The following is a 24,142-nucleotide window of genomic DNA, read 5'->3' on the forward strand; positions in this document are numbered from 1 at the left end:
GAGTTTCTACACCCTCTGAGAAGATGCTGGGCCCTGAGGGAGGGTGTGGACCAGAAGGAAGTCACGGGGTGAGTGGAGGGGGAGGGAAGCTTATGTGCCATTTTAAGAAGACGACAGCAAAAACAGGAAAATCCTATTTATCTGAATCCTATGTGATTCCACTTGAATTTTCAATAATTTAGACAAAAGTAAATTGGCGTTTACTTTTGCATTAGCCATAAGGAGCAGAAGGAGAAATTTGCTCCCTAGAATATGAGTGTTGACGTGTTGCTGACATCAAAACAGAATTTAAACTTTGAGGAAAGAGAGATGCCAGTGCTGCCACAAAGGCACCGACGCCCGAGACAGCAGGGCTCGTGTTTCTTCACGCAGACCATCTGTGCCGCCGTTGGCCATCGGAGGTGATGAAACTGGGCTGCTTCCAATGCATTCCAGAATGTAAACCCCTCACCGTGTTTCTTCTTGGTTTGATCCCTGGAGTGCCTGTGCTTTGTCTTCAAGTCACACTTGGGATTTTGCTAGTTTTCCAAGATTATCGCATTTTTTTTGAACAAAGTAAATCAGTTTCCGACAATGCCACTGTCGTGTTAGGGTTTCTCGGCGTGTCGCCTGGCTCTGGCCGGGGTTGTGTGTGACGCTTCCTACCCGTGCTGCCTTGCACATTTATGGAGCAGGGGGTTTGCCGGCAGCGGTCTTGGTTCCTTATAATCCTGTCATCGTCCTCGTCGTCAGCCCCCTCCTTCCCCTGCTCTTCCTCTGTTGTCCCAGCAAGACTTTCAAAGAACCAGCTATTGCTCAAGTGGTCTTTTAGAGAATGTGCACACCTCTCAACCACTCCACAACACCTCAAGATTGCAGTGGTTGTGTTTCGGGTTCACATACATGTATATCGAGACTCAGGGAAGTCCAGGGCCACACAGGAAGTGGCAGAGCCAAGATTTAGACCTGATCTAGCTCCAAATCCCAGCTTCTCTGTTGCTGGCCACGCAGGATGAGCTCTGTTTCCCAGGCAGGCTGAGCAAATGTCCAGGATGGCAGGTTCTTGGCAGGGCCCTGGGGGCTGAGGCCACAGAAGGCCTCCTCACAGGAGTGGGGGTGAAGGGCCCCAGGTCCAGGCTGGATGACCTTCTGCCCTTCCTGATGCGGGTGACCTGGCTCTGCTGGTTTGAAGTAAAAACGCTGTTGGCAGAGAATCGAGACGCGGGGAAGGTTAGTTCAGGGCAGGGATGTTGGTGTCTGCGGGTGATGACTGCAGCCTCCCTGTGTGTTGTGTTTCCCGGTTGGCACACCTCTGTTTATTGTCTGCGCCAGCCTCATACCCCCTTTCCCTCAGCGTATTTCCTTCATAACAGGATGGCAGACTCAGCGGCTGCTATGGGGCTGTTCCAACTACTGAAAACACTGAGATAAGGCCCACGGTGGCAGAAATCCCTGAGGCTGCCAAGGGTGCCCACATCCCAGATGCCGGGGCTCTGAGAGTCGCCTCCTCTGTTCTTAGTTGCCTCGGATGTGAACAGGCGGCCATCAGGGGGTGTCATCCTGAGCCCTGAGGTGGGGCCTGGGGTCTGCACTCGAATTCACGGTGCCCTGATGCTAAGTTTTAATTCTTAAAAAGCTTTTCTAGCTCAAGATACTCCTCAATATATTAATTATTGGCTGAAAAAAGCCTAAATTTTTAATCTTGCAAATGCTAGAATTTCTGAGCTCCCTATGTTTTCTCTCAATTCTGCTGCAAGCTTGGCTTTCCTTTCTGAGCTTATCTTTTTCTTGAGGTACTTTATCAAATGCAGTAGCAATGATTATTCACTCTAGAGACATTTTGCTTGGAAAGCTTTTCACCCAATGCCAGGATTACATTGGGTATGTTTCCTGCTTTCTAAGTTATTACAGGAGCCCATGTTAGTGATTTTTTTTTTACCATTACATGTCACAAGTTGCCATTCCCCGACTTTCTAAAGTAGTTTATTCACCACCCAGTCTATCAGCCAGTGCCACATATTAATACTTTAGGTTTTATTATGGCAGCACCTACTTTTGACACCAAATTCTCTATTGGTCAGCTATTGCTATAATAATGCTGTGTAACAAATGGCCCCACCAATCCCAGTGGTTTAGAAGAAGCTGTTTGTCTCTCATGCCTATGTCGGTGTAGTGGCCGCAGCATCTACTTCAGGCTGCAGGTGCCTCTCAGGTGTGTGGCTTGGCTCTCATTTTGAGACCTGATGGAAGAGGCAGAAGGTCCCCCCGGGGCACTTCCCAGGCCAGGCGTGCAGGAGGGCAAGTGGAAGCACATACTTACCTGTACTCAGAACTGCCCCCACTGTCCCCTTCCACACTTCAGTGGTCACAGCAAGTCCCATTTCCAATCCATGGTGCTGGGACTGGGAGGGAAGGAAGGACTGTGAGTGTACAATGCCACCTGCCACAGGAATGGCTCAAGGATGGAGGCAAAGTTAACACCAGGAGTTGCCCTGTCCCTCTGCTCCTGAAGCCCTTGGCTTTGCAGAGATGATGTGGTGCAGTGGAAAGGACACAGTGCATGGCGGGCCAGCTCGGCTGCCCTGACACACTGTGGCCAGCTGGCCTCTCCTCGGTGTCCCTGGAGCTGCAGCTTTGATGCCAGGGTAGAAGATGAGTGGGAGGCGGAGGGGCATTTCCAGCCAACTCTATACACTGAGAAGCACTAAAGATTAACAGGTGACTGTCTGGGAAGAGCCAGCTTTGTAAGAGACACTGAGAGGCACCACTTCCCGGGCCTTCATCTTCCCTCTGGATGGGTGGAGGAACAGGGACACCAAACCTGACATTGCTCCCATACTGAGTGCCAGCCATGGCCCCACCTTGCACAGCCCATGCCTCAAGGGGGCCATGGCTAGCACTATCTGACAAGAGGATGCTGGGCAGGTGGGTGGGAGCAGAGGACCAGGTGAAGGCTGGGGCCTGTGTACCCCAGTTGAAGGGAGCTAGATTTAACTCCCTGAGACCCAAGAAGCATCCTTCTGGCCACCCCAGTCTAATTAGCTAGGAATTTGGTGGTGGCACAGGTGAGAAGGTCCCTGCTCTGTGGAGCTTGCAGGTTCTGGAAACAACCCCACCACATCTGTTGCAACACCTGCAGCCGTCTTCTTGCATCTTTGCTTTGTGCTGGACGCTTCCATATGGAACACCTAACACAACATCTGTAGTGGGCTGAGGGTAACCCTCAAAGATATATGTCCACATCCTAATTCCCAGAACCTGGGACTGTGACCTTATTTGGAAAAGGGGTCTTTGCAGATTTAATTAAGTGAAGGGTATTGAGTTGGGGAGACCATTCTTGTCTATCTGGGTGGGCTCTAGTCCACTGATAAGTATTCTTAGAAGACAGAAGAGGAGGAGGCCATGTGTCCACAGAGGCAGAGGCTAGAGTGCTGTGGGACCACGCCCCCTCTGGCAGCTCGTGAGGGGCCACGCCCCCTCTGGCAGCTCGTGAGGGACCCACAACAGGGAGGACTGGGGCCTTGCTGGGCTGGAGAGCCCAGAGGAACAAGCAGGGGGCTAGGGCCCCTGAGATGCTGTATGACTGGTCCATTGTTCCTGTTCCTTTCCCATAGAAGAAAAAGGAGAGTAGTTTGGGGACAGATTCATGCACATATGCACACATACATACTGCACACACATACATACTATATACAATACAGTGGGTATACATATAGACACACTACAGCACATGCACACACACACACATTCTGCACACAATACTGCATGCATGCACATACGGCACAGCACATACATGCACACATGCTGCAGCACACACAATACTGCACACAGAGCATACAATCCTGCAAGTACACCATACACGGGTGAAGAGAAGGGGCATCTGTCAGTGGCCTACTCTTCCAGACCCTCATTTTGTCCTCACAGCAGCTCTCTGGGGTGGGCCTCCCCAACTCCCTTTAATGGATGAAGATGCTGAGACTTAAGGGTTACAAAGTCTGCTTGAAGTCACAAGGTGCTGCGACTTGAGCTCAGGGCCAGGTGAATCCCTGATGTTCCTGGCAATCTGCTCCTGAAGGGTGCAGCAGGGCCTCTCTGGTCTGGTTCTCCCTCTTCCTGTAACCTTTGAGGTAGTGCCTGCAGGAACCCTGGGACCCCCCCACCCCCCACCCCAATTTGCCTGCTCCTGTTCCCTGGGCTCAGCAGAGTCACCATCCCAGCCCCAGGACAAGTGTCCTCCTTGGTGGGGGACATGTGGTCATTGCTGGGGCGATACAGTGAGATGTGGCCACACAGCCATGTCCAGACCTTGGGCACCATGCTGCTCATGCTCCAGACTGCTGGGGAGCACCTGGTCCTGGTTGTGTCTGGCTTTGGGTCCTTCAATTTCTGCTGTCTGCTTTCCTGTCATTGCTCCCACTTCTCAACCCTGCCTTGGTAGCTTCTCTGATATGATCAGGCAAGATCTTAGAGCACAGTTGCATGTTTATATTATAGCTTCTCTATCACTCCTGTGGGTGTGCACATGTTGTATGGTGTGTGTGTGGATGTGTTTCTCTATGAGTACAGAGCACATATGTTTGCATGCATTCTGTGTGTGCACAAGGCATGTTTAACATATCTGGTGTATACACAGGGTATCCATAAGGTTTATGTGGTATGTGTGCATACTGTGTATGGTGTACTTGCAGGATTGTATGCTCTGTGTGCAGTATTGTGTGTGCTGCAGCATGTGTGCATGTATGTGCTGTGCCGTATGTGCATGCATGCAGTATTGTGTGCAGAATGTGTGTGTGTGTGCATGTGCTGTAGTGTGTCTATATGTATACCCACTGTATTGTATATAGTATGTATGTGTGTGCAGTATGTATGTGTGCATATGTGCCATGAATCTGTGCTCTGAAAAGAAAGCCAACACAGTGGCTGGACAACATTCTACCAGTCCCTTGAGACTATCAAAAGTCAGTGTGTTCAGTCACACAGAGGAGCCTTTGAAGACTTCAGATGAATGACTCAGGAGCCCCTCAGTCATCTCAGCAGAAGACAGAGATAGGACTATGTGAAAGGCCTAGGGAGGACCTTCTTGTGAAATAGAGTGAATCCTGTGTGTGACATACACAGGAGACCACAAAGTTCTTGAGAATGTTATATCAGCAGAAACACTGCCAACTTGGACTGAAGGGAACAGAGAAAGTATGAAATGAAAGATGAAAGAGCACTGTTGGACTCTCCAAAATTCTGCAGGAAGGAAGCAGGCTGATAAAACCACTCAGTGGCAAACATGTGCTACCTTTCATGAAAAAGGAAGGATGACTCCAAGGGTGGAGCCATGAGCCCAGATGTTGGACCTGGGACCCACAGAGGATTATTTTCTCAGGCCTTGAAATCTAATGTTTGCTTAGCTGGTTTTTCAAAGTGCTTGGGACTGAGGACTCCTTTTTTCCTTCCATTTTCTCCCTTTTTGAATGAGAATGTCTATAACTGTCAACTGATGCCTGTCCTAATGTTGGGTCTGACAGCAGATCATTTGTTTCTTGAGTTTTGCAGGTTTACAGGTGGAGCAGAATTATGCATCTGGATGGATTATACCCTAACCCAACCCTAATTTACATTATGAAATTTGGGACACTTGAACTAAGTAAATTTAGATGAGATTTCTGGACTTTGACTTAATGCTGTAATGAGGTAGATGTTCACAGATGCTGGGGTGGAGTGGCATCCTTGTGAGTCTTTGGAAGCCAGGGGCCAACTGTAGTCAGCAGGATAATGGCCCCCAAAGATGTCCACATCTCACTCCCCACTACCTTATATGTCAAGAGGGAGTTTGCAGGTGTGATTAAATTAAGGGTCTTGAGGTGGGGGATTATCCTGGATTAACCAGGTGGCCAGTGCAATCATGAAAGTCCTCACAAGAAGGAAGCAACACTGTTAGCATCAGAGAAGATGTAACTACGGAAGCAAAAGTCAGAGTGATGAGTTTGCTTTAGAGGTGGAGGGAGGAACCCAGAGGCATGGAAGATAGGTAACCTCTAGAAGCTGGAAGAGGCACGGAAGTGAATTCTCCCCAGAGCCTCCAGAAAGAAGAGACTCTTGCTGACGCCTTGGTTTAGTCCAGTGAAACCCATGTGGGACTTCTGATTTCCAAAACCATAAGATGATAAGTGTGTGTTGCTTTAAGCCACTAAGTCTGTGGTCATCGGCCGTAGCAGCAATAGGAAGCAAATACAGGCATGAACATCAAAAGAGCAGGAGACGGGCATTCCGGAAGTCGCAGGAAGAACACGCTTTCTACTGCTCCTGTTGGGTGTTGTCGATCAGCCAAGATGAGGGCTGAGAACTGATGCCAGGGTTAGCCTTTGCCGGTAACATCGGCAAAAGCACGTTTAGTGGAATAGGGGAGGTAAAATCTAGCTTAGCGAGGACTCAGGAAAGACCAGGAAGAGAGGAAGTGGAGAAGGAAGACTGTGTTCTTAGAGGGGCATCTTGAAAAAGAGCAGAGAGACAGCCAGCAGCTGGGGGGCCCTGGCCGGCAGGAGAGGGGACAGCATGACTGTTGTTGAGGGTGGCCCCACTGAGGGGGCAACCAGAGCTCCTGGCCAGCCTGGAGTGGGGGACGGCGGTGGGTCTGGCTGGCCAGGCACAGTTGGGTGGGAAGATGGTGTGGTCGGAGCACGTGGACATTCTTTTCTGATTGCTTCTATTTTCTCAGTGAGATGGGAAACAATCATCTCCTTTTTGCTAAATGTGCTGAGCAGGCTTGAGGGATGCCTGGACTTCAGCAGGAAGCAATAGTCATGCCTCGCACATGCGGCTTTCAATCCTGTTTGGTTGGAGAAATAATATACCGCCCAACTAGTTTGTTTTAAATTAGACAAACACCCCGGAGCCTGCCTGCTGCTGGAGACGGCTGTGTTTGGAGTGGGGCTCTCGGCGGTGCTGAGGTCAGCTCTGTTTGACATTCCTGATGTGTGAAGGGCGCACTTAGGACAACACCACCAGGCCACGGGCGTGCAGCTCCCTGGAGCTGCTCCAGGGGCCCTGCCTGAGAAATGTTCCAGTCCTTGAAATTTCTCCCCAGTTTTAAACATCTGTTGGTGCTTGTGGAAAATAAGGTCGGGATTGCTGTGCTCACCGCCCGTGAAAGCTGCCATTGCACGGTCTGTAAAGTGCTGGTGATGAACACTTCACACCGACAGGCTGAGCCTCGGCCCTGGCCACGTCGCTGGGGCCCAGCTTCTGATCAGTCTGTATGGTTCAGCTCTCCGTGGAGTTAAGTCATGACAACCAAGGAACACAGGCATTTGAGGGGATAGCTCTGTTCCCTCCGCCATGTCCTGGGGCGAGCTGTGTAGACGTCTGTTATCTTGATAAACCCAAACCTCTTGGGGCCAGGTGCCCTGTGCCTTCCTTTGTCCTTCTGTCCACCTGGCCTTCCATGAGCCTCTGGGGTGGGGCTGTCTCCTTTCTCTCCTGACTTCCCAAAGCACAACTGAAAGCAAACTCTTCCACCCACCATGAGTCTCATTCCATCTCTCCAGTGGGCGAGACACGTAGTGTTTTGTTTTATTTCATTTGCTTTGTTTTTTCAATCAAGCTGAGGCCAGCTTGGAGGCCTGTTTCCCTTGGGATGGTGGACACATGGATCTCAGGAGTTTGGGGGTGCCCCTTCTGGTCGCAAGGGACCTTCTGGACCCTGTGCCTCCCTCCCACCAGCCTCCCCTGACACCGCCTCCGTGCTGCTCCTCTCCCGGTGGGCTCCACCCTCACTAGGGCTTCGAACCTGGAATGCTCTTTCCTGGCCTCCTGCCTGTCCCCTTCCCACCAAGCCCCCCAGTTCCTGCTGAGTGCCACTTCCTGGCTCAGCTGCTCCCATCCAGTGCTGGGCTCAGCCTCGTCACCCACGCCCCACCATAAAGGGTTCTTTACAGCAGATGGCATCGCCGTCGGCCCCCCAACCGGAGGCGCCCTTCAGGGCAGGAGCCTGTTTCTTGTGGAAGTGTCTTAAGCCCTAAAACGGTGCCCAGTGCACAGTTAAATAAAAATCAGAGCCCCAAGAGCAAACCTTAGCCCCTCACGGTGACTACAGCCCTTCCAAAGAGGGGCCATATCACGTGCACAGTGACCCTCTCCACGTGGGTCCCTTGGTTTGTGAGGGCCTTGGTTTGCAGGCCATAGACTGACACAGTGGCACCTGGTGTGAGGGGAAGAGGGTGTGGAGGCCACAGACCCACACGGTGGTACCTGGTGTGAGGGAAAGAGGGTGTGGGGGCCACAGACCCACACGGTGGTACCTGGTGTGAGGGGAAGAGGGTGTGGAGGCCACAGACCCACACGGTGGCACCTGGTGTGAGGGGAAGAGGGTGTGGAGGCCACAGACCCACACGGTGGCATCTGGTGTGAGGGAAGAGGGTGTGGAGGCCACAGACCCACACGGTGGCACCTGGTGTGAGGACCTTCTGAAGGTACCCGTGGGTGAGGGGATCATTTGGATGGATTGCAAAATGGCCATGTGGCTTTAGTGACACCTTTAGGATGTAATAAACTTCAGAGTCAACCTTAATTCTGGGAGAGAGACATCTTCACTTTTCTGGTGCCATAACTGCCTCTTTGTGGAACGCAAAGCAAAACTAAAGTCATTTTTCTTGTTTGTTTTTAAGGCCCTTCAGGCTCTAGGGTGAGTTTCTGGTTTGAGGGGAAGGCCTTTCCTCCTGACTCCAGCCCTCCTTGACAAGGTCTCCGTAAAGCATGCTTTCTCTTAGGGACCCTCAGAGGGAGGCTTGGTGGGGACATGGGGTCAGGGACATCATCAAATGCTAGACGCCCGGCTGGGGCTGCCCCGAGGGCTCTGAGAGGAGGGGGCAATCCTGCGTGGCCAGGTGGGTGGTGAGTGTGACCTGGGTGGTTGGCAGTGGCTTCCGTCCAAGGTCCTGGCCAGGAGCGGAATCCCACAGCCACGGCAGGCCATTAGTGGCTGAGTGAAGTTTGTTCAGGGTGGCCTGACCAAAGGCAGGCCCTGAGGACAGCTGTTGCTGGCTCTTGGTGGAAAGAGGCTGAGGCCAAAGGGTTTATAGGTGTTCAAATTGGAAAGTGGAACAGGAGACCTAAGTACGCTCCCTCTGACCAGGTTAGGGGGTACTGATGGGGAGTCCCTCAGTAGAGGCAGGGGCCACCTCTTCTGACCCCAAGGGACCCAGGCCAAGAAGGAGCCCCCTCTCCCCCAGGGCCAGGGGGACCCCAGCCTGCCCCACACTGGCACTTTGCAGCACCAGGGAGAGACCAGGCCTCCTCTGGGACAGGTTCCAGGCTTACGGGAGCTTTGGTCAGAGGGGCAGCCACCCCTGCCCACTCTAAGAACGTGACCCCAGAAAGGGGCATCATTTCTTCAACAGAAGAGGAGGCGAGATGAGCTTGGTGCCAGTTCCACGGAGCCACAGTGACATAACCCTCCGAACATTCGTGACCAACCACGGAGCACAGTGACATAAACCTCCAAACATTCATGACCAACCTCGATTATACAGTCACACCCAGCCCCGAGTGGATTTACCAGAGACAGGATGTTCCCCACCAGGCTCTCCCACTAGGCAGATCCTCAGCACTTGGCTCAAGAGTGGAACAGACCCCACTAGCCATTGCAGGCCGTTGGGCAGGCAGCCCTCCGACCTCAGCCCATGTGCATATGGGGTGGGGGACCCGTGGGCAAAACTTGGGGTCCTAACCTGGGGGGGTCAAACCCTCCACACGCAAGTCCTGGTCAGAATCACTCAGAACTGACCCTCCCCTGTGCCAGCCCCTCCCCTGTACCAGCTCCTCCCCTGTGCCAGCCCCTCCCCTGTACCAAGCCCCTCCCCTGTACCAGCTCCTCCCCTGTACCAGCCCCTCCCCTGTGCCAGCTCCTCCCCTGTGCCGGCCCCTCCCCTGTACCAGCTCCTCCCCTGTACCAGCCCCTCCCCTGTACCAGCCCCTCCCCTGTACCAAGCCCCTCCCCTGTACCAGCTCCTCCCCTGTACCAGCTCCTCCCCTGTACCAGCCCCTCCCCTGTACCAGCCCCTCCCCTGTACCACCTCCTCCCCTGTGCAAAGCCCCTCCCCTGTACCAGCTCCTCCCCTGTACCAGCTCCTCCCCTGTACCAGCTCCTCCCCTGTACCAGCCCCTCCCCTGTACCAGCCCCTCCCCTGTACCAGCTCCTCCCCTGTGCAAAGCCCCTCCCCGTACCAGCCCCTCCCCTGTACCAAGCCCCTCCCCAGTACCAGCTCCTCCCCTGTACCAGCCCCTCCCCTGTACCAGCTCCTCCCCTGTGCAAAGCCCCTCCCCTGTCCCAGCTCCTCCCCTGTACCAGCTCCTCCCCTGTGCAAAGCCCCTCCCCTGTCCCAGCTCCTCCCCTGTACCAGCTCCTCCCCTGTGCCAGCCCCTCCCCTGTACCAGCCCCTCCCCTGTGCAAAGCCCCTCCCCTGTCCCAGCTCCTCCCCTGTACCAGCTCCTCCCCTGTACCAGCTCCTCCCCTGTGCCAGCCCCTCCCCTGTACCAGCTCCTCCCCTGTACAAAGCCCCTCCCCTGTCCCAGCTCCTCCCCTGTACCAGCCCCCAGACCCTGAACAGCACTGGCCACTACACGGAGCCACCACCCTGGCCCTGGCCTGGGTGGGTGGGGGTCCCCCGGGGAGCACAGCGCAGTGCTAGGGCCCCTGTAGCAGATTCCCAGGAGACACACACCCAGCTGGGCCTGCTGACACTAGCCCTGCATTCCCACACCCCCTCCCCTGGCCCTCTCAGCTGCCTTGTCCTCTCCTGGTCAGCTGCCTGGGGACACTGTCACGATGCCTGGCCCCTGACCTTGCCCGAAGCTCCTCGGTGTCTGGACATTCAGCCCGACATGCTCTGAGGTTTGGGGCAGGTCCAGCACTCTGTGGGTCCACCCCATCAGCCCTCAGGGTGGGACTCATGCAGCCACAGTTTGAGAGTTCCAGGAACCACAAGTCCTGAGTCAGCGGGCACCTGACCCCTTATGTCACCTGCCCCAGGTGGAAGGAGACGCTACAGGGACCAAGCATGGTTGGTAAACGTGTGTGTGTATGTGCACTCACGCCTGTGTGTTAAAATGCTTCAGAGAAAGAGCAGCCCAGGAACGTGGGGGTTGGATGGGATGTGGAGGTGTGGGCTGTGCCTAGGGGTCCCTCCTGGGGCTGTGTGGGTGTGAGTGGAGGACTGAGGAAAAGCCTCCTTACCCGGGAGTGTGTGGGGGTGCTGTTTCTCGTATACTTTATTTCCTGTTTTAACACATGTGGGTGTCCTGAAATAAAAGCCGTTAGCCGCCCACAAGAATGAGCAGGTTTGCTGGATCACAGTCCCCCACCCGGTGCCAGGCTGCCTGCCTGGGAGACTCAGGGTCCTCCCCAATCCTGCCTCCCCACCTCCACACAAGGGTGAATCTGAAGCCCCAGGCACCCACGCCAGGGGAACTGAGGTAGAGCAGACCTCCAGCATCCCCCCGTGACCTGGCAGATGGCAGTGGACATTGCCCTCCCCAGACACCCCTGTGAGTTGTCAGCTCTGCCTGCTGGGGTGGAGCCCCTGACTTGGGTGAGCCAAGGGTGGGGGGAGGGTGGTGAACCAGCCGGCCCCCCAGGTTTCCTGAACCCTTTCTCAGTCTCCTGGAAGGGGCTGAGGGGCCTGGCACCTTCCCACCAGAGCAGTGGTCCCCAACCCTTTTGACACCAGGGACAGGTTTTGTGGAAGACACTTATTCTGTGGGTGTTGGAGAGAAGAAGGGATGGTTTCCCTCTCAGATCATCAGGCATTAGATTCTCATAAGGAGCGGACAACCTAGATCCCTTGCGTGCAGTTCACAATAGGGGTCACGCTCCTGTGAGAAGTGAATGCCGCCGCTGATCCGAGAGGAGGCGGAGCTCAGGGTCAGGCCGGTCCACCGCTCACCTCCTGCCGCGCGGCCGGTTCCTAACAGACCACAGCCTGGGGACCCCTGCTCCAGAGGACGGGGAGTGTCTCTCTGTCATCCCCAACGGGCCAGTGATCCCGCTGGAGGGGCTGGGGCTGCACAGGACACAGGCTCAGCTGTGCTGCTGGCCACCCATGACCCAATCAGAGGCTCAGGTCAGAGGGCAAAGATGTCCACTGAAGCGGCTCCAGAATCCCTCAAGGAAGGTGACATCCGCTTCGCTTCCTCCTCCAGCCCCACCTTCGCTTCCGGGACCACAGAGCCCCTGGAGCCTGCACGCCACGGAGTCTCCCACTGAGGAGTGAGGAGGCCTCTTGTGGGGACAGATCTGGGTGAGTCAGGAGGCCCTGCGGGGCTGGGCTGGGCTGGGCTTAGGGGCTGGAGCGGGGAGGGTTTCTCAGACTGGAGTGGGAGACTTGAGGTGGAGATGTGGGTTAGGTCAGGGTCAACCCTGAAAGATTGAGAATCACACGGGGCTGCTCACCTTGGGCGTGAGGAGCAAGGTCTCTGGGACTGACTAGGTGAAGACCGGTTTCCTGGGACGGGCACGACAGGGACTTGAGACCCGTCTTAGGCTGTGTCAGGGCAGCTGAGAAACTTGCTGGCTTGTGGGTCATGGAGCCCCAGGAGCCGGTCGAGGTGCAGGAGGGGGCCTGGGTGGGGCTGAGTCAAGGGCTCCGGCCAAGCCCCTGTGGCCCAGGCGGTATTTGTTTATGCCTCATGGCCGGGAGGAGCCACTGCCTTCACCACATCCCACCGGGGTGGGGCGGGTACCACCCTCTGGGACAGGGAAACTTCAAGTGGGAATTTGGGCAAATTTGAACTCAGCTGGATTTTCAGTTTGTTGTTCTTTGAAGGAATTCAGGACTGTGTGCCAGCGCTGGCCACACCACCAGGAGGCCTGGCCTGGCCCGAGAGGGATGCCAGCTTGGCATCTCCCACAGGGCAGGGCGTGTTGGGAGCCGCTGTTGGCTGGGGGCTGGCCTGAGCCTGACTGCCTATGTGGAGCTGGCAAGGAGTGAAGACCCTGCTGCCAGCACAGGGCCGAGGCTCTCCGGCTAAGGACAGGCTTAGGACAGGCCTAGGCTCTGGGGTCCTCAGCCCCCTCCCAGCAGGGCCCGGCCCATGCTGCCAGACCTGGGATGTGCCCCTGGACCTCCCTACCTCGGGCCTCTGCCCACCCCAGCCTCCTCCCCCAGACCCCTCGGTCTCTGCCCCTGGAGGAAGCCGGGAGTGTTTCTTTTGGAAATGACCCCAGTTTGTGGTTGTTCTTTGTAGACACACCCCCTGCTGGGGATGAGAAGTCCCCCTGGACCTTGGTTTGGGCGGGAAACCGGCTGTGTCCCACGTTAACCTAAATCGTCTTTTCCTCTTTACGTTCCAGAGTCATGCTTGAGGCCAGGCTCGAATCCTGCCTGCCTTTGGTGGCTCTGAGATTCAGGGCTGTCTTTTCTGAGAGCACCCAAGTGAGGTGCCTTGGGATGCCCCTGACTTGGAGACACAGAGGAGGCTGGGCACCCCTTTTCCCCGACGCACTGAGCCAGGTCAGCAGAGGTGCTGGGGCCTGGCATGGCCCCTGGGAAAGAACCTGCTTTCCTCTTGTGGGAAGTCAAATCCTCGCACTCAGTGCCGGCACCCCTTGGCGGGTGACAAGAGGGCATCTCGAAGGCCACTGTGCTATGGGAGTTACGGCTTTGACTCTGAGACGGGGGCCTGGGTGAGGACCTGGTATCCTCAAAGTCCCCGTGGCTGCCCTGTGGAGAAGACTCTGTTGGGAGAGGGCGCTGCCTCCCAGAAGTGTCCCAAGGTCCAGGAAGGAATGGGGGGAAGAGGACAGGAGGGTGTTCTCACAGTCACTGTGACCTCTGGTGAGCAGAGGGTCCTTCTCAAGCTACTGAATCCTCATGGGGCTTGGGTGAGGGAGCGAGGATAGGCCAGGAGCCAGAGGCTCAGGAGGGGATGGCCTCACTGTGGAAGGTGCAGGGGTGGTCCAGCCTGAGCCCTCTGCCCCCCGCTGCAGCTCAGCACCCCCCCCCCCCCACGCACACTTACCCAGGGGGTTGCAAAGTGATGGGTGTTGGCTCTGGAACTAGTCCCATGTTGTTTCCCAGGGAAGGAGCCACACCCTTCTCAGACCTCTGGGCTGATGCACGAAACGGCAGCCCTGCCTGGGCTGCCCACCGCCCGTCACAGAACGATCCCGCTGCAAATTTCACAGGCATCTGGATCGAATAACAGGCTGATAGGGCGTATAAAATTAGAGACAGAACTCTCCAGAAGGCAGGGTGGAGGCTGCAGCTCCCTGGGATTCCACGTGAGAAGGCAGTGATGCTGCTGCCCCCACGGGAAGGACGGATGCTGAGTCAGTGGGAAGACAGTGGGAAGCCCAGCCTGGAGGGGAACGGGGGACGGGGTGGGGGGTGGTCCAGAAAAAGCAGCAGGCGGTTGGGGTGGGACACAGGGACTGTCCCGCCCGGGGAGGCCCCCAGACCAGGAGGGCCAGACCCTACCGCCCCTCTGCAGGACCCCATCCCTGCTTCACTCCCTTGCTCCTAGTTCTGAGTTGGGCCCAGCCTGAGTCTCCACCAGGTGGACAGTAGCTCCTCGGGGCAGCTGGGTGTGGGATCTGCAGGCTCAGGCAGCCACCCAGATACTAGCGGCCTCCCTGCCCTCCAAAAGCCCAGCCTGGGATGAACCTTGACAAAGGCCCTAGACCACAGCAACCACCCCACCAGGGCTCTGAGTTCTCCATGAGGACTGGTTTCCCTGGAAGGTGAACACTCAGGGGCTGGGACCCTTAAGGATTGTTCTTCTCAGGTCTTCACCGTTTCCAGACGTGTGCCTTAGACATCTGCACGGACATCTCTTCCCAGGGATGGGCGTCTCAGGGCAGGTGCATTTAAACTTGTGATAGAGACTCCAAATCACCTCTCAAAAGCCTGTTCCCATTCACACCCCTGCATACGGCATGTCAGTGGATCCCTTCCTCACTGGAGCAACACTAGATTTAGTCATAAAATATTTTTCAATTTCTTATTTCTATGATTAATAGGGAGGTTGGATATTTTGTGATATTCATTAGTTTATTTGACTATGTTTCTGTTTTTACCCTTTACCACTTTTCTAGCTAGTCATTTGCTTTTTTCTTGTTGATTTGTGGGAGTTCTTTATATATGATGAATATCAGTACTTTGTGTTTACATTGCAGATATTCGTTCCCAGTCTGCTGCTTATTATTTTACCTTTTTAAGGTTGTTCTTTTCATCACATAAAAGTTTTTAAATTTTAAGTAGTCAAATGGTTTCCTTTAAGGCTTTGGATTTTGCATTTTTATACCAAAATGCTCTTGTATTTTCTTCCAAACTTTATAATTATTCTTTTTTTTTTTTTTTTTTTTTGCCTTTAAGTTCATTTTGGGGCATGGGGTGAGACAGAATAGCACCATTTTTCCACATTAAATCTTAGATATTGTGAGCCCTGGAGGACACAAATTACAGCTTAGAGGCCTGGAGCATGATTCTGGAGCCAGGCTTCCTGGGCCGGAGTCCACGTCCTGCCCATGGTGGCTGGCCATTGCTTTGGGGAGCCTCTCTGAGCCTCAGTGTCCTCTTTGAAAGAGTGGTTGTTCAGAGTAAGAGGGTATCTTCCTGTGGACGACTCAGCTTGCGTCTCAGCCCACAGTGAGCGAAGAACCAGGGGGTCTCACAGAGCCCTGACTCAGGTGCTGAGGGTCCCCCTAACCTCCAGGCAATTCGGCCTGCACCCCCACCCCCGCTTCTTCTTGCCTCTTCTAGAAGAGAGGAGGGTGGCGGTAAGGCTGGAAGGGGGAAGAAAATCTGTTTCCCAAAGCCTCCAGGTGATTCAGCCAGAGTGAGACCAAATGGCTTGGGTCTTGGGTTTTCAGCTTCCTCACCTGTGCGGTGCAGGTGACAGCACCCCACTTCCTACTCTGTGGGCAGGTAACACCTGCGTGCTCTGAGAAGGGGAAAACATCTCCACCCTCCCCAGAGGCCTGCACGGCCGGAGGTCACAGTGAGGCGGCCACACGCCCCGGGCTCTTGCTCCGAGGGGACGCTGTCCCAACAAGAGGCCCCCTCACAGTCTGTCCTGACCCTGGCTCTGTGGCCCCTCCTTCTCCTTGATCAGGCCCCTCCCGGGTCTACCGGGATCTCTGGCTGCCCCCCGACCCCCTGCTGCAGCCCCAACCCTAGGTCTCCACAAAGACTTCGGGATGCCCCGTGAGCCCCTGGGTCCTGGACCCCTCTTCCTCCTCCAGCCCCTCCTCTCCCAGCTGCTCCTGGCTGCCCTTTAATTGCTCAGAGCTGTTCAGCAACCTGGCGCGTAGCTGGTACATAAGTGGCTGTTGGTTGGAGTCAAGTGAGTGATGGGGAGATGCTAAGAAGAGTGAAAGAAGCCTCGGCACCCGCCGGGAGCAGGTGCTGGGGGTGTGAGTGCCGCTGAATGAACGCGTCCTGGGACGGGATCCTGAAGCCCACCCTCCCGCCGGGCCCCCACAACCCAGAGCGCACACCAAACTTTCTACGTGTCTTTCCCGGTCAGCCTGAGCCCAAACCACCCATGTCCCTGAGCTTGTCCTTGTCTGAAAGAGGAGGGAAGTGTCTGTGTCCTCAGGAGCCCCTGGCCTTAAAGATAGGCACCCTGGCTCTGGCAGGCAGGTGGCCCCTGGCAGCCTCGCCCACGCCCGCGGTGACTAGCTCTCGGGCAAGCGATGCAAGTGCAGAAACCAGCTCTGTGTGGTCAGTGCCCCGGAGCTGCAGCGGCAGCAGAGGTCGGAACACCTTCCTCTGTGGGCACGCCACGGAAATTTAAAGACACAGGGTGCTCTTTCGCAAACTGGGCTCGTTGATTCTACAGGAGAAGGTAACTATTATTGAGTTTCTTCTTTTTCAGAATGAGTGGCATCCAAACCTGACTCATATTTCCAACTTTATTAATTTTTGCAAGACTTCGGAGGGTGCTCTGTGGCGATTAATATTGCTGAGCTGAGCACAGCTGCAGTACTTTCCTGTAAAACTGACTAAAGGAGAAGTTGGTGTCTTCCTCATACAAGAAATACATAAATCAGTTAAAAATAGTTCTCCGAGCGGATATGATGATGTCGTGGCCGTCACAGGAAACACATGAATCAGCCTCATCCTCAGTTCCAGGGAAGTGGGGACAGTCGGTGGTCCTTGGACCCCTCTTGGGGCGCGTGGGTGAGGCAGGGTCCCTCTGGCTTTACCTCATACCCGGACTGGCAAAGCTGCCTGGGAGGACAACTAAAACCATGCTCCTTTGATTCTGTGGACATTGCTAATTGCTGGGCGTTCATTTCTTGAATTCAGACCTTCTCATGAACCAGAGGAGCTGGCTCAGAAAAATGCCGGTGACGCATGGGCCTGAACTGGTCAGTGCAGCTCAGAGATGCTCGCCGTGGGGGACGTGCAGTTTGCCTGTGGGCCAGTTGTCCACCCGTCACCGTTACCCCGCTGAGGAAGCTGTGGGTGCCACCCAGAGAGCTTGGGTACAACACGGTCTCTGCTTTACTCATAAAAAGCCAAGACCTATGTGGTCATGGAGCGTTAAAACAGAAATTTCACACCACGCCGTACGGTCCCCGAGGCCAGGGTGTTGGCACATTTCACATCCAGGAGGTGCCGTCGCTGTCACTGGCTCAGCAAAGCCAGTGCCGAAGCCACTGCAACTGCCTGAGGCCCAGCGGTGGCTGGGAGCCAATTGGTGTCACTCGGTTACCACAGGGAAGGAGACGTGGCTGTAGAGGCTTGTCGCAGGTCACAGAGAAGGGACTTTTGGGCTCCAGGCCTAGTGGGTTCGAGTCAGCACGGTGTCTTCCCCGACACCAAACCCAAGGACCCTCAGCACTTCCTGACCTCAGGTTTCTATTTCTAGGGTGGGGAGTAGAGGTGAAGGGAAGCAAAGTCAGAGTTGAATATAAAGCTCCAGAAAAACTCAGCTCAGAATTGACTAGAGGGTTGAGAGCCTGAGATCCCTAAGGGGACATGTCAACCCAGGGCAGCCGCTGAGGGAGACTGACATGGTTTCCATGGTCCTTCCACTGGGCTGGGGCCCTCCCTGGGGAGTCTGTGCTGGGCTGGACCTTCTTCCCTGCCAGTGGCCTCTCCTGGCTGGTTGGGGAGCTCCGGGGGAGCAGACGGCAAGAGTCTTGTTTGGAAACATGCCCTTCCCAGGAAATCCCCAAAACAAAACCTGAGAAGATCTCCTGGAAGCTCAAAAGCAATTTTCTTTTCATATGTCGGGCCAATAAGAGTTAATTTCACCCAGTTTCTATATTTTCATGGGTCCTTAGAAGCTTTCTGACCCTGTGCCCTGAGACTTAGGGTCTGATGGCTGAAGGAACCTTGGTCCCAGGTCCCTCTCCTGTGGAGGGGCCGTCAGAGGGAGAGAAGAGCTCGCCCTGGTTCACTTGGCCTGTCCTGAAAGAGAACCAGGAGGGAGAGCAGCCTAGCATGGGTGCACACAAGCATATGTACAAACATGTGCTAGGGCAACTCACACACGTCCACATGCATGCACATACACACATGCCCACACCCATGCACACTTATGTGTGCACACAGATTCAGACTGTACCTGTACACTTCCACACTTCCACATGCATGCACATACACACATGCCCACACCCATGCACACTTGTGTGTGCACACACAGATTCAGACTGTACCTGTACACTTACTTCCACATGCATGCACATACATGTCCACGCCCATGCACACTTGTATGTGCTTGCACAGATTCACACGTGTACATGCACACACACATTAGCATGTCCTTGCATATGCACACATACACACATCTGACTTCACATTACATACACACATGTACATGCACATACATGACACACATGGCTCGAACTGGAGGGGAGGGTCCCAGTTGCTCCCCTCGCCTGACCATCTAGTAAGTGTTGTGCCCCATGCTGCCCCATCCTGGGCTCCTGGCCAGGCTCTAAGATTAACTAGAGAGGCTCTGTCCCTAAGAAAGGTCATGCACTTCAGGGTAGGTAAGGTGGACAGGCAAGGCCTGGTGACCTCGGCCCATCCTTGTGCCTCCAGAAGCCGTAACTCACCTCAAAGAGGTTTTCCTGCTGGAGGGAACTATCTCTGAGCAACAGGGGCAGACTTCACAGCTCAGGCGCCCTCCTGAAGGTAAGAGGCACTGGGCTCGCCTATCAAAGACACTCTCCTGTCCCCGCAGGTTCCCATATGTCCCATCAGGGAGCTGGGCTCCAAAGTCTCCCGCCCTGCTTCTCCTAGAGAATGCAAAGGCTGCCTCTCTTCCCTCCCAGTGTAACCTGACCCTCCTCTGTGCCCCTTGGCCACCCTTGCATCCTCTAGCTCCTTCTGACACCTTCTTTTTGACTGTTCACAGAGGGCAGGATCTGAAGCCTGCAGAGGTGACCCTTGGTGCCTTGTGCAAGGCTGGCCAGCAAGTAAGCATGACTTTTGGCTCTGCTGCCAGCTGGGCCATTTGATCTACACACACTTTTCTGCCTCTACCTGGAGTTAGGCGAGGCTCTCTATAGAATGGGTACTTGTCAACAAAGTGGGCTTAGACTCCGGGCAGTAGCAGTTGAGGCAGGAGCAGTGGGAGAAGTCTGGGCTAATGGCAAGCACCCAGTCCCCTCTGTGAGCTGCCCACTTGTCCCAGGCTCTGCCATGGCCCTTCCTCTGATTTTTAGGAGCTTTCATGAGGCCTCGCACAGCCTGAAGGAGCAGAGCTTGTTGTGCTAATCCCCAGCATCCTCTGCAGAGTTCTCAACACCTTGTGGCCGAAAGGTCCTTCAGATTGTCCAGGCACCCACCCCGAAAACCAGCCCTGGCATGGGGGTGCTGACCCCTCCCGGAGCAGTGGGGTGCAGGGCTCATAAGGCGGGGTCTGCAAAGCATGCTGGGGTCTTGCTCTGTGCTTACTCCAAGGATGCAGCCCGGAGTGCCACTGCTCTTGGACTTTCCTTGAGACACCCAGAGCATTGTGTGGCCATCACTTCTCACGTGGTCTGGCTGCTTGGGGGGCTGGCCTGAGTCAGCTAGGGCCAGTGCTCACCTTATCCTAATCACCTACTGGGGGATTTTGTAGGCTTGACCCTCCATGCCCTGGTGTTTCCCACAGGCTGTGAGGTTCTAGGGTGTCCCAGGGAGGATAGACGAGGCTGGTGTCCTAGGATCCCTCCCTGTCCGATCCAAGGTGAGGCTGCCAGGGAATGGAATCTGGCTCTCAGGCATGGGGGCCAGGCTCGCCTGCAGCCTCAATGTGGCTGGGCCCTGAAGGCCAGGGGTGGGTGGGGTGCAGCCCAGAGCTTTCTGCGGCTGAATCACCCTCTGGGTACAGGAAGCCTGACCGCATGACTTCCAAACTGATGCAACTCGGACTTTCTACTGAATTTGTGAGCTGTGATACTATTGCTTCTGAAGTCAAAGAGGGCTCAGAGGGTTCACGGAGCATTCCCTTTCAATGACGATCGGCCTCTCTGGAATATCTCCAGTGTCAGCAGGGATGGTGTCAGGGTTCTCCTAGCAAGAAGTCATAAGGAATGGAAGGGCTGAGAAAAATGAGGGTTAGAGTGACACCATGTCAGTCCCCCTGGCTAGCCTCTGCCAGCTGGACAAGCTGGGGCCTCCTCTCCACCTTGACTGGCCTGTGCCGGGGGAGGGAGCCAAGGGCAGGACCCTCTTGCACCTCTACCCTGGGCCTGGTCCATTCTCGCTCCTGGGACCTCCCCAGAGACCTCCGCAGCACACCCCACCAGCACAGTGAGCAGCACGGAGAGACCCAGACCGAAGTGGCCATGTGCTCCATGTGAGGGCTCCGTAGGAAGCAAGGATGTACAAGTGGCTCCTTTTCCCTTCCTAGGGGTCCCTTGCAGGGCTGGGACCCCACTCTAGGCGAGGCCTCTGGGCAAGGATGACCGTCCCTGCCTGCCTCTGGGAAAGAGTAAGTTCCTGCTCCTGGTGTCAGCGCCGACTGGTTCTCCAGGGACCACGGCGGAGGTCTGCCCTCTGTCTTACTTTCTCATAGAGATTTTCCGTGGGACCTGGGCTCCCTGCCTGGTTAGGGCTGGTTGAAGAATAAGTGGGAACGGTGGAGGAAGGAAGGGGATGTGCCAGCTGTTGCTCTGGCCCTTTCGTGTGGATATGAATCCCTGGTGAGAGGCAGATCCTGCGGTCAGTGCGGAGCCCACCACATTCCCCCAGGAGGGTGTGTCCGGGGCTGTGTATGGGGGGAAGCTGGGCAAACAGGGTCATGCCGTGAATGCAGGGGCAGGAGCAGGGACGTTTCTCTCTGCAGACACTGGTGCTCCCCAAAGCAGGAGAAATGGCACACAGCCATGTTGTGGACACATTTGTGAGAAAATTCCTCTGAATGTCAGAGAACATGGAAGAGATGAAGCTACCAGCTTAGAGAGACACAGGAACACATACTACAGACACACAGCACGCACATACCCAGACACACCCAGACACACTCACCAGACACACAGACTCACACAGAGAACACACCACGTCACACACAGAGATTCACAAAGAACCACATCACACACGTTTTCACCCACAGAGAGAACATACCCACATCATACCCATGTGCTGACACACAAGAGCATAAACTCACACACACATACATGAACTCACACCGAGAACACAGGCATCACACACAGGGACTCACGCACAGAGGGCATGTGGACACTACACACATGTTCTCACACAGCACACGCCCCGTCACACCCATGAACTCACACCGAGAACACAACATCACACACAGGGACTCACGCACAGAGGACATGTGGACACTACACACATGTTCTCACACAGCACACGCCCCGTCACACCCATGAACTCACACCGAGAACACAACATCACACACAGGGACTCACGCACAGAGGACATGTGGACACTACACACATGTTCTCACACAGCACGCCCCGTCACACCCATGAACTCACACCCAGAACACAACATCACACACAGGGACTCACGCACAGAGGACATGTGGACACTACACACATGTTCTCACACAGAACACACCCCGTCACACCCACACCCCCACATGCGTAGACACACACATCCTTACTCTGCGCGCATCCCTGGCCTGGTGGACGGAAGATCGAGCGCTCTGGGTGGACTTACGGCCACAGGACGGGGGCAGAGTCGGCAGGGAGGCCCCTCCGAGGCCCAGTGGGCCCTGCGCTGGCCCCGGCCGCAGACGCCCACCTGCTGTGCTGGCTGCGGCGTGTGCCCCGGGGTCTGTGGCTGACCTGGCCTCCACGTCTCACCCATGAAGCAGGCATGAGAGGCTGGCCAGGTTGGCTAAATGGGACCACAGCAGAAGCACAAGCCCCAGAATGTGCACGAAGGAAGAGAGAGCCGGGGGAGGTGGCGGGCTGGGTGTGCAGAGTGGGCCTGAGCTCCGGCCTCCTCCCTGGACGCCCTCCCGTGGCCGCAGCCATCCCTGCACCCACTGATGTGGCCTGACCCCTCACCCTGAGCCCACCCTTCGCGGCCACTAGGGAACCTCAGGAGAGGCCGCCGCGGTGGGGTGGGCGGATTCCCCCGGAGCAGGCCCAGGCCCCTGCTTCTGAGCGCTCCTGCAGCGCCGCCTGCTGGCCACAGAGAACCCGCGTGTGCCGGCCGCCAGGCCTGGGCATCTCCTCTCCTGCAGCGCCGCCTGCTGGCCACAGAGAACCCACGTGCGCCGGCCGCCAGGCCTGGGCATCTCCTCTCCTGCAGCGCCGCCTGCTGGCCACAGAGAACCCACGTGTGCCGGCCGCCAGGCCTGGGCATCTCCTCTCCTGCAGCGCCGCCTGCTGGCCACAGAGAACCCACGTGCGCCGGCCGCCAGGCCTGGGCATCTCCCCTCCTGCAGCGCCGCCTGCTGGCCACAGAGAACCCACGTGTGCCGGCCGCCAGGCCTGGGCATCTCCTCTCCTGCAGCGCCGCCTGCTGGCCACAGAGAACCCGCGTGCGCCGGCCGCCAGGCCTGGGCATCTCCCCTCCTGCAGCGCCGCCTGCTGGCCACAGAGAACCCACGTACGCCAGCCGCCAGGCCTGGGCATCTCCCCGGGCCCTAGTTCCCCCCCTCACCTAAGGGGAGGGACTCCCGTCTTTCCATCCACCCCCTCCTTGCCTCTGCAGAGCTCCAGGGAAGGCTGGCACCCGCTCACTGCATTTAGACTCCATCAGGTTCAGACAGTGGGTCAGGGTACAAGGCTTCAGCGGCCAGGGATGTGGCCTCTAATTTGTAGAGAGAAAGAAGGGCAGAGGTAGGTAGGTAGATATATGATAGATGGTTGATAGATAAAAATAGATGAAATAGATGGCATGGTTACATAGGTGGGTAGGTAGATAGATGACAGATAGAAAGACAATAGACCACTGGGGGCTGAGCCTGGCCTGAGCCAGAAAGGTGAGAAGGGGACAGCGGTGAGGACCCCACAGGTCCCTGCTCTCACCTATTAGCCCCAGTGTTTGGCCTGAGCTCTGACTGACAGCTCCCTCTTTCCGAGATGAGACTCAAGAGGAGGAAGAGGGGACTTCCTAAGGACAGGGATTCTTGGTGTCTCCTTGGGGCTGGTAGACACTGCCTGCCTCGCCTGCTGTGGCCTCTCTGCACACAACCAACGACCCCTAAAGGGCTCCATGGGCGCCCATGCTGCCCCCATCAGCTGACACCCCCTGTGCGAAGATTCTCCTCCTCCTCTTCCTCCTGCCTTTCTGTCCCCTCATCCTCCTCTTTATGGAATTAACTTCCCTTGGTCAACATCTTCCTGCTTCACTCACTTCCCTAAACTCCTCCCTATCCCTTCTCAATCTGCAAGAAAAATGTAGAAAGAATATGGTAAAGGAAAGCTTTGAGCCCATATTTGGGTCCAATGCCGACACCACATGCCCCAAAGCCCCCTTGAGAGCATCCACGTCCGTGTAGTTGAGTATTGCCCGAGCTGGAGTGAGATTTGCCTCTCTACGGAGCTGCCTTCCTGCAGTTCAAGAGCACTGTCTCTTTTCTGGGCCTCCTGCCTGGTGCAAGGGCCCCAGCTGAGCCTCCTCCAGCTCTGACCTCTGGTGGTCCCGGGCTACCCCAGAGGGTCTTGCCCGGGCTCTGACACTTGGCATGGGCTGGGAGCTCCAGCAGCCACAGCCCAGCCCTGGGGAGGCTTTGTGGTCTCTGAGGGGGCAGGTGC

The 24,142-nt window shown here is 55.8% G+C and overlaps 2 long non-coding RNA genes across 2 annotated transcripts in view, besides 1 other annotated feature; both read left to right on the forward strand.

Moving 5' to 3' along the window:
• The window catches only part of LOC101929650 (uncharacterized), a 71,977-nt gene that overhangs the window by 39,523 nt on the left and 8,312 nt on the right, over positions 1–24,142 (forward strand). The window lies entirely within an intron of this gene.
• Positions 10,603–17,026, forward strand: LOC105371948 (uncharacterized). The gene is made up of 3 exons (XR_933965.3): positions 10,603–11,027; positions 12,166–12,263; positions 16,843–17,026. It is a non-coding gene; the product is annotated as an uncharacterized LOC105371948 (long non-coding RNA).
• Positions 22,489–22,648: a silencer, noted in NCBI's record as "silent region_9233". NCBI's record gives its function as "represses an Ori minimal core promoter by ATAC-STARR-seq in GM12878 lymphoblastoid cells {active_cell/tissue: GM12878}" and the evidence as "EXISTENCE:reporter gene assay evidence [ECO:0000049][PMID:35858748]".

Source organism: Homo sapiens, chromosome 17 (assembly GCF_000001405.40).
Source record: "Homo sapiens chromosome 17, GRCh38.p14 Primary Assembly".
Classification (NCBI taxonomy): domain Eukaryota; kingdom Metazoa; phylum Chordata; class Mammalia; order Primates; family Hominidae; genus Homo; species Homo sapiens.